Source organism: Homo sapiens, chromosome 22 (assembly GCF_000001405.40).
Source record: "Homo sapiens chromosome 22, GRCh38.p14 Primary Assembly".
NCBI lineage: Eukaryota > Metazoa > Chordata > Mammalia > Primates > Hominidae > Homo > Homo sapiens.
In genome coordinates this window covers 38,075,765-38,084,521 of record NC_000022.11, presented here as the reverse complement: position 1 = coordinate 38,084,521, position 8,757 = coordinate 38,075,765, and the positions used below count along the sequence as shown (strand labels likewise).

Below are 8,757 nucleotides of genomic sequence, written 5' to 3'. Positions count from 1 at the left end.
GTGGATTAGCTTCATTCTAGAGAAAGCTGCCAGCCCCTCCTGGAATGTGGCCTGGGGCGGGGGGTTGGGGCGGGGGCAGATGAGGCACTGAGGTGATTAGAACCGTTGGGGTCTCTTCAGGGCAGGGCTGTGCCCCCAGCACCAGACTAGGACCCCCTGGGCAAGGTCTCTGTGTCTACCACCCCAGGCTCCAGGAGGCACAGGGATTCTCTTCCTCCCTCCTGGACTGGCTTGGGACAGGGAGCCCACCGCCGAGGCCCAGCCTGGCCTGGGGCTCCCAGTCTCTTCTCCCCTCCTGGACAAAAGCCTCTTAGCAGGGGTGAGGTGTGGTGGGGGCACACACTCTAAGCTCCAGGCCTGGGGCAGGGAGCGTCAGGCGGGAGTCGGCCAGAGGCTCAGCCCAGGCTGGTGGGAAGCTGGGGTGTCTGGCAGCCCCCATCCGGGTAAGCTTCACCGGGAGCTGCGGCGGCGGCCCCTCCCTGCAGGCCTCAGGAGATGTGAGGCTGGACCCCCAAACCCACGAGGCAGGCTCAGGTGAGTGTGATGTGAGGGCTGCCTGGGATCACCCTCCTGTCTCCACCTTCAAGTGGCTGCCCCTGTGACAAGAGGACAACAGGCAGGAAAAGCCACAACCTGGTCCTAGTGGAGGAGGGGCAGAGTCCCGGATACCCTGGGGGTGGTGGCACTGCCCAGTGCCAGGAGGGACACTCCAGGCAGGAGGGCAGGAGGCTATCCCCAGCCCCCGGCTCCTGGTGCACCTGTCTCTGAGTACACCCTCCTCATCTGTTATGGGGGCGCTTGTAACTGCTGTGAGGGCCCCGGGTGGAGCCCCAGGAATGAGACAGGCTTTGGAGCCATTCTTTTCATATAGAGGGTTTGAGGTTTGGAGGGCAGAAGGCCACTCTCTCAGTGCTGCTAAGGTTCCTACCTGTCTGGCAGAAGCCAGAGACCTGACTCCTCTCCCGCAAGATTCCCAGCTGGCCTCGGGGTGATCAATCACCCATCTTACATCGGAGGAAAGGGAGGTTGGGAGAGGGGAGGCGACCGGCCCAAGTCAGGGAGGGAATCCATGGCTGAGCTGAGATGCATGGGAACTCAGCTCCCCTGGCTGATATCTGTTGAAAGTGGCTTTTGTCCCCTTAATGTTCTAATGACAATAGTCATTTGTGATCACTGAGAAACATTAGGAACATGGCGGAAGGCTAAAGAGGAAAATCACGCACAGCGGCCCTTTGCAGCCGGCATCTGCCCCTCTGCTGTTTGTTCTGTTGTCCCGAGACCCTCACGCGTACGGGGCGACTTTGGTGCTGGACGCCCACCTCCAGGCACATACCTGCTCCACTTCCCGACGCCTTCCACCTGAGGCCCTGAGGGGCCAGCAGTTGTCCTTCAGAGGGAGCCTGCAGAGGTGCAGAGTCAGGTGGGACCCGTCGTCCTCCCCTCGTCCTTCAGCGCCCTTTGCAGGAGAAGGAGACTTGGGGTGAGAGTCCTACCTCCGTTTCCCCTTTTGGTTCCCAGACCTGAGCCACCCTCACGTGGGTAGCCCTGTGCCTCAGTTTCCCCATGCTTCGTCTCCATCCCCCTCCTTCTCTAGGCTGCTGGCCCAGCCCCTCCCTCTTGTCCCCGCCCCCTCCCAACAGAGGCAGCGATGGGCGCTGGCGGCCCCCGGCGGGGCGAGGGCCCCCCAGACGGCGGCTGGGGCTGGGTGGTGCTGGGCGCCTGCTTTGTGGTCACCGGCTTCGCCTACGGCTTCCCCAAAGCCGTGAGCGTCTTCTTCCGCGCGCTCATGCGCGACTTCGACGCCGGCTACAGCGACACGGCCTGGGTGTCCTCCATCATGCTAGCCATGCTCTACGGCACGGGTCAGTGTCCCCGCCCGGCCCTCCGCCTCCCCGGGACCCCTGGGATCCGGAACCAGGAGACACCCGAGCCCCTGAGCATCCCCCTGACCCTCGGGGTGGCCCCCGAAGTCCCTTCCTGCCTGTGGGAACCCTGGCACCAGAAAGAGGGGAAGAGAGGGCGGGAGGGAGACAGCGGCCAGAGGCGGGGCCGGCCCAGGGGGCTGCCCTGCGAGCTCAGAGGGCCCCTTCTAAGACCACACCCGCCCATTGTAGAGGCAGGAAAGCTGAGAGCCACAGAAGCACTCCCCCTCCCCGCAGCCCTGACCTGTAGGTGGGGGCTTGCTGGAGTTCCCATCCTGGGAGGCGGGGCTGCGGAGGAATCCCAGTCTGTGCCAGGGCGGGACTTGGAGGCTGTGAAGGTTAAAGGGGTGCGGAAGCCCCCGCTCCGCTTGGGGTTTGGGTTCGCAGGATGGGGTGCTCTGGGCCTTGCCCTCGCAGGATGCTGTCTCTTTGGCCTGTCCCCTCCAAGCTGTGTGACCTTGGCCAGACACTGCCCTCCTCTCTGTGTCCCTGAGCCGGAGGTGACCTTATTCCTTAGAGGACTCAAGCCATCCCGGGACCCGGGTGGTGACCCTGCCCTGCCCACAGGCCCCGTGTCCAGCATCCTCGTGACCCGCTTTGGCTGTCGCCCGGTGATGCTGGCGGGTGGGCTGCTGGCTTCCGCGGGCATGATCCTAGCTTCCTTTGCCACGCGCCTCCTGGAGCTCTACCTGACCGCTGGGGTGCTCACAGGTGAGGGCCCCCTGGTCTCCTCTCCGCTGGGTTGGGGGTCGGGGGTTCTTGCTGCAAGATCTGTCCTCGGTTTCCCTATGAGGGACAGTCTTCGAAGTCCCTCGGCTGGGTTCCCGGATCTGCTGGGTTCCCGGGCCTGGCCCCTCCCTCCTGTGGGGGCCAGGGAGGGGCTCTCCGGGGACCCCGGCACAGCACCGCCTCGCCCGCAGGCCTGGGCCTGGCCCTCAACTTCCAGCCGTCGCTCATCATGCTGGGGCTGTACTTCGAGCGGCGGCGGCCTCTGGCCAACGGGCTGGCGGCGGCGGGCAGCCCCGTGTTCCTGTCCGCGCTGTCGCCGCTCGGCCAGCAGCTGCTGGAGCGCTTCGGCTGGCGCGGCGGCTTCCTGCTGCTCGGCGGGCTCCTGCTGCACTGCTGCGCCTGCGGGGCTGTCATGAGGCCGCCGCCCGGGCCGGGCCCGCGACCGCGCAGGGACAGCGCCGGCGACCGCGCCGGGGACGCTCCGGGCGAGGCGGAGGCTGACGGTGCGGGGCTGCAGCTGCGCGAGGCATCCCCCAGGGTCCGGCCCCGCCGGCGCCTGCTGGACTTGGCAGTGTGCACCGACCGCGCCTTCGCCGTGTACGCCGTCACCAAGTTCCTGATGGCGCTCGGGCTCTTCGTCCCCGCCATCCTGCTGGTGAACTACGCCAAGGACGCGGGCGTGCCCGACACCGACGCCGCCTTCCTGCTGTCCATCGTGGGCTTCGTGGACATCGTGGCGCGCCCGGCGTGCGGCGCCCTGGCGGGCCTGGCGCGTCTGCGGCCGCACGTCCCGTATCTGTTCAGCCTGGCCCTGCTGGCCAATGGGCTCACAGACCTGAGCAGCGCACGCGCGCGCTCCTACGGCGCCCTCGTCGCCTTCTGCGTCGCCTTCGGCCTCTCCTACGGCATGGTGGGCGCGCTGCAGTTCGAGGTGCTCATGGCGGCTGTGGGCGCGCCCCGCTTCCCCAGTGCGCTGGGCCTGGTGTTGCTCGTGGAGGCCGCGGCTGTGCTCATCGGACCGCCCTCTGCCGGTGCGCCCCGAAGGAAGAGGGGGTGGCGAGCCTAGTGCCCCTTAGACCCAGGGAAGCTCCATCCCCCTGTCTCAGATGGAACTTCCAGGGATGAGGGGAAGGGGCAGTCGGGTGGGTGGACTCCCCTTCACGGCCAGTTAGTCCCTCCTCCAAGCCGGACCGCCCGCTCTGGGTGAGGACAGAAAAGCCCAGGAAGGTGCAGGGAAGAAAGCAACACTGGTAGCTGGCCAGATCTGCCATCCCAAGCAGTTGGCACAAGGCCATCTGGAGCGCAGGTGCTTATTCTCATTTTGCAGATGAGGAAACTGAGGCACAAAGCCTTAGCGCAAGTTGCAGCCCCAGAATGAGAGCCTCAGTGTACCTGCTGCTAAATGCCCACGCCTTTAGAATGGTGCATCTAGAATGGTGACTGGAATGGGGACAGTATCTTTGGGAAACTGGTGTTGGGGCCAGAAACAGAGTGGGGGTGCTCAGCGGGCAGATGGGGAGAAGCACTGGTGTCTTTCACTGTGCAGATGGCCTGCTGGCACTTGTCACCGTCACCCTTAGGAAGTCATCGTCATGAGGGTGGTCAGGGAAGGCTTCCTGGAATATCCCCCAGGTGAAGGCACAGCATGGATGGGCAGGGCTTGTTGGGGGGGAACAGCGTCCTTATGCAAGCAAGGCAGGAACCAAAATTGGAAAGGTGGGAGTGGGGGACATGAGGGTTTTCCTGGGTTGTCAAGTTATCTTGAAACAGCAAGGGAGCCTGCCTTTGAGTCCCAGAGGCTAGAGGGCTGTGAGATGGTGCAGTAACCAGGGAGGACACCTTGCGGGGGCCGCAGGCTGCACTGAGATGGGGTGAGCTGCTCGTCCTTCCTTCAGGGCTGGGCTAATCGAGTGCCCTCACTGAGCTCTGTCATCCCACCTGACCCAGTGAGAACGGCAAAGTCCCTGAGCCAGTGTGTGGGCAGGCCACAAAACCAGCCTGCCCAGGCCTCAAGGAACCGTCTTCCATTTCTTGTGTGAATCTGGATGGATCTGATGGGCAGAGGAGGTGCATGGGGTGAGGAGAATGACCTAGAGAGAGGGTGGAGCACACAGACAAACCACACTTTAGGGGGAAATACTTGCAATTAAGAGATTTTCCTGGTCGGGTGTAGTGGCTCATGCATGTAATCCCAGCGCTTTGGGGGGCTGAGGCCAGAAGTCTGAAACCAGCCGGGGCAACATGGCAAAACCCTGTCTCTACCAAAACAAAACAAAACAAAATTAGCTAGGTGTGGTGGCGTGCACCTCTGGTTCCAGCTACTCAGGAGGCTGAAGTGGGAGGATGGCTTGAGCCCAGGAGGTGGAGGTTGCAGTGAGCCAAGATGGCACCACTACATTCCAGCCTGGGCCAATGGAGTGAGACCCTGTCTCAAAAGAATAAGAAAATTCCTGAAGCCAGGTGCAGTGGTTCACACCTGTAATCCCAGCACTTTGAGAGGCCAAGTCGGGAGGATCCCTTGAGCTCAGGAGTTCAGGACCAGCCTGGGCAACACAGCAAGACCCCATCCCTAAAAAAAACATAATAAAAGAGAGACTTTCCTGAGTTTGAAAGTAGTATCTACAAGGGATAGAAGCCTTGAGAAATAGAGAAGGAAATGAGTTACTGGCCCACAAGCCCCACCTGTGCCGATGATGGCTTGGTCTGGGATGCTCATGGGCCTCCTGGGACAGAGGGGTGGGAGGACTAAGCCAAGCCCCTGAGGACCAGGGCATTTACATGGCAACAGCAAGAGGTGGAGGCCCCCAGGAGGGCAGAGCTAAGCCCAGGGCCCCCTCCCCGCTCCCACCCCAGATACCCCACTGCCAAGCAAGTCACAGGACACTTGTGGGGCTTGAATCAGAGGGTGGAGGGGACGCCTCACCAGAAGCCACATATCACTTAAGCAATTGAGGTCCAGGGACAGCAAGTGACATTTTTAAGGTTTCAAATGGCAGAATCCACATGAGGTTTTACATCTGTAAAACAGGAATAAAGAGTGGGCATGTGTGTGTCACCCAGGAGCCTCACCAAGTCAGTGGCACCACCCTTGACCTGAGAGTGCAGGAGAGTGAGGGGAGGACCCCACAGGACCTTACCTCTCCCTCCTCTTCCTCCTCCTCCCCAGGCCGCCTGGTGGATGTGTTGAAGAACTATGAGATCATCTTCTACCTGGCCGGCTCTGAGGTGGCCCTGGCTGGGGTCTTCATGGCTGTCGCCACCAACTGCTGCCTGCGTTGTGCTAAAGCTGCCCCGTCAGGCCCAGGCACTGAGGGCGGAGCCAGTGACACTGAGGACGCTGAGGCTGAAGGGGACTCTGAGCCCCTGCCTGTTGTTGCAGAGGAACCCGGCAACCTGGAGGCCCTGGAGGTGCTCAGCGCCCGGGGCGAGCCCACAGAACCAGAAATAGAGGCGAGGCCGAGGCTGGCTGCCGAGTCTGTATAACTCAGGGTGCTCTGGGTGGGGTGGCCCAGTGACTTGGGAACACAGCTTCTTGTCTCAGAGAGCCTGGTACGCTGGGAGGCTGGTCTGGGGTGGTCACTCCCGGGGTCCACGTCTGGGCTCCAGTTGATCCCCTGGGTGTCTGGGAACTGCCTCCCTCATCTGTGCCCCAAGTTCCGCCAGGCCCTGCCCCATCGCCAGTGAAGCTGCTATGGAGCAACAGGAAACTGGTGATAAAGCTCAGCTGAACGACAGAAGGTTCTATTCCTCCGCCCAGGCTCCGGCTGCCACCTGAGTTGGGGGTCAGGGTGGTGGGAGGGAGTCTGGGAGGTCTCTCTCCAGGCCCCCTAAGCAGGCTTCTAGGTGGGCAGTGTTGGGAGGAAGCGTCAGAGATGGATGAAGAGACCCATCGTTCCCAGGTGTAGAGACACAAGGGGCTGGGCGGGCACAGGGCTCAGGGGCACAGGGCTGGGTGGGCACAGTGCCTGGCTCCTGCCCAGCCCCACTGCTCAGAGCTGTCTGCTGAAGGCCCCCTCGCTGGCATCTGCCTTTTCCCGTGGAGGGAACGAGGGGTTGGCAGCAACTAGGGTTCAAGGTTGGGGTCTGCCTGCAGGCGGGGGGCCCGAGCGGTCTGAGAAGACTCACAGTTCCCAGGGTCAGGGTCGGTTTGAATCCCAGCCCCGCTGACTTCCTTGCTCACTGGAGGCTGAGCATACGACTCCGTCCCCTGGGGTCCTGGGGAGGGTGGGACCAGGCGCTCAGTAACACCATGGGCCCTGCTGCCTTCCACGAGGTGGCCATGTCCCCTCACCTTCCCAGAGGGCATCTCTCCCACTAGAGGATAAACTTGGGTGTCCAGGGCCAGGGGCTTTTGCTGTGGACACTGTGCTGGCAGCCAGGTCATCTGCTGATCCCAGCACCTGCCTTCTCCCCACGGAGCGTCCCACGATCTCCCTCACACTTTGACATCTGACCTCCTGCACTTGGATCCAGGTGCACGAATCTGGCAAGACGCGATGTATTCCCTCTATGCATTTATCCTCCTCCCATACATCACACCCCTCCTTTCTTTGCCTCCCTCCGAATCATGAGCGTGGTGAACAGGCCCCTGCAGAGGAAGCCGCCTTCCCTCCGCAAACTCCCCTCACCTTCCAGCCCGGCCCATAGTGACCCCTCCCCACTGGTCCCTGCTGGCCCTCATTTTCCATCTAGGCCCCAGGAAGGTCTGGGGAGCCCCACAGATGCCTGGCCGGCTTCTACTTATATGGCCTGTGGCTTCCCCTGCACCACTAGAGCAGTGACTGCGTTTGACTTTATTATTATTATTTTTTATTTATTTTTTTGAAATGGAGTCTCGCTCTGTTGCCCAGGCTGGAGTGCAGTGGCACAATCTCGGCTCACTGCAAGCTCTGCCTCCCAGGTTCACACCATTCTCCTGTCTCAGCCTCCCCAGCAGCTGGGACTACAGGCCCCCGCCACCACGCCTGGCTAATTTTTTGTATTTTTAGTGGAGACGAGGTTTCACCGTGTTAGCCAGGATGGTCTCGATCTCCTGACCTCGTGATCCGCCCGCCTTGGCCTCCCAAAGTGCTGGGATTACAGGCGTGAGCCACCGCTCCCGGCCCGTCTGACTTTATTTAAGATTTAAGAGTGCTTGCTCTGTGCCAAGCCCTGTTCTAAGCCCTCTCCAGATGTTCATTTAATCTCCTAACAAGCCAATAAGGTAGGTGCCACACTTCAGATAGGGAAATTGAGGCCCAGGGAGGTCAGGAACGAACCCAGGCTGTCAGTTCCAGCCTGTGCTCTTGGCCTCCACTCTGGCTGCCCCCTTCAGGGAGGCAGTGTGGTCTGTCTGATGGCTCTGCGGGGACCCAGGTGGGCTCCTGGTGACAGCCAGCCCCTCCTCCATGTCCCACCCCTGCCAAGCCTCCCATTTGGGTTTCTGCCCAGCAATGCATGCTCAAAGCTGATGCAGAAACCCTTTTTCCATCCTGGACTCAGCCCACCTCGCACACCCTGTTGCCCCCTCGCATTCTCAGGATGGCCATATTCATCGTCCAAACAGGAACACGTTAGAGTGACAAGGGCCACTATGACTGATTACACCAGGCCGAGGCTGGCCAGGAGAAGCAGGAGAAGTGGCCACCCTGTTTCTGCCACTCTGCAGACACTCCCCATGGCCTCTCCCCACGCCCCTCTTCCCACAGCCCCCGAGCACCTCTCCCCACACGCCTTTCCCCACCACCCGGGCAGCACAGGCGCGCCTGGAGTCAGCACTTACCCCTCACCACCCTCCCCTACTTGGGGGCTCAGTCGCCCTGGCTCCATGTCTGCCCTTCTCTCCCCCAGAGGTTTATTTCCTGTCGGAAGCACAGAAAGGTCACAGATTGGGGGCGGGGGAAGGGGGCGGGGGGTGAGATACAAAAGGTTCCACAAAGCAGAAAGCTTTGGAGGCAGGTGGCAAAGTCAGGCCTTCAGGACAGATCTGAGTTAAAACCCACTGTGTCCCCACACAGGGCGTGGCCTTGGGCAAGATCTTTCTCTGAGCCTCAAATCACCAGCTGTGAGGGGACCACAGTGCTAGCCCTGCAACACTTCAGTGAGGCATAAATGGTGCATAGCAAGG

At 61.6% G+C, this 8,757-nt stretch overlaps 1 protein-coding gene and 1 long non-coding RNA gene across 4 annotated transcripts, besides 3 other annotated features; one reads left to right on the top strand and one right to left on the bottom strand.

Moving 5' to 3' along the window:
* Window positions 73-854: an enhancer, noted in NCBI's record as "H3K27ac-H3K4me1 hESC enhancer chr22:38479675-38480456 (GRCh37/hg19 assembly coordinates)". NCBI's record gives its function as "activates a minimal SCP1, AML or CMV promoter by ChIP-STARR-seq in naive and primed H9 embryonic stem cells {active_cell/tissue: H9 hESC(naive and primed)}" and the evidence as "EXISTENCE:reporter gene assay evidence [ECO:0000049][PMID:30033119]".
* SLC16A8 (solute carrier family 16 member 8) lies at window positions 338-6,385 on the top strand. 3 transcript variants are annotated; one of them, NM_013356.3, is made up of 6 exons: window positions 338-534; window positions 1,161-1,480; window positions 1,641-1,862; window positions 2,490-2,633; window positions 2,843-3,682; window positions 5,818-6,385. In NM_013356.3, the coding sequence occupies exons 3-6, from the start codon at window positions 1,649-1,651 to the stop codon at window positions 6,132-6,134; spliced, it is 1,515 nt and encodes a 504-aa protein (NP_037488.2). In that variant the 5' UTR covers window positions 338-534; window positions 1,161-1,480; window positions 1,641-1,648; the 3' UTR covers window positions 6,135-6,385. The 3 variants fall into 3 exon arrangements, with proteins under 3 accessions (NP_037488.2, NP_001381060.1, XP_016884174.1); XM_017028685.2 differs by lacking the exons at window positions 338-534; window positions 1,161-1,480 and having other exon boundaries at window positions 1,485-1,862; NM_001394131.1 differs by lacking the exons at window positions 1,161-1,480; window positions 1,641-1,862; window positions 2,490-2,633; window positions 2,843-3,682.
* Window positions 1,830-1,879: a silencer, noted in NCBI's record as "silent region_13706". NCBI's record gives its function as "represses an Ori minimal core promoter by ATAC-STARR-seq in GM12878 lymphoblastoid cells {active_cell/tissue: GM12878}" and the evidence as "EXISTENCE:reporter gene assay evidence [ECO:0000049][PMID:35858748]".
* Window positions 3,195-3,976: an enhancer, noted in NCBI's record as "H3K27ac-H3K4me1 hESC enhancer chr22:38476553-38477334 (GRCh37/hg19 assembly coordinates)". NCBI's record gives its function as "activates a minimal SCP1, AML or CMV promoter by ChIP-STARR-seq in naive H9 embryonic stem cells {active_cell/tissue: H9 hESC(naive)}" and the evidence as "EXISTENCE:reporter gene assay evidence [ECO:0000049][PMID:30033119]".
* LOC105373027 (uncharacterized) lies at window positions 4,155-5,881 on the bottom strand. The gene is made up of 3 exons (XR_938249.3): window positions 5,789-5,881; window positions 5,575-5,668; window positions 4,155-4,909 (listed from the first exon to the last, which is right to left on the bottom strand). It is a non-coding gene; the product is annotated as an uncharacterized LOC105373027 (long non-coding RNA).
* Window positions 6,386-8,757: the final 2,372 nt, after the last annotated feature.

Excerpts from the sequence above, each read along its gene's own strand:
- SLC16A8 (NM_013356.3), top strand. The coding sequence starts at position 1,649 with ATGGGCGCTGGCGGCCCCCGGCGGGGCGAGGGCCCCCCAGACGGCGGC. Across the intron at positions 2,634-2,842 it reads GACCGCTGGGGTGCTCACAG|GCCTGGGCCTGGCCCTCAAC; the intron begins GTGAGGGCCCCC and ends CCTCGCCCGCAG. Across the intron at positions 3,683-5,817 it reads CATCGGACCGCCCTCTGCCG|GCCGCCTGGTGGATGTGTTG; the intron begins GTGCGCCCCGAA and ends CCTCCTCCCCAG.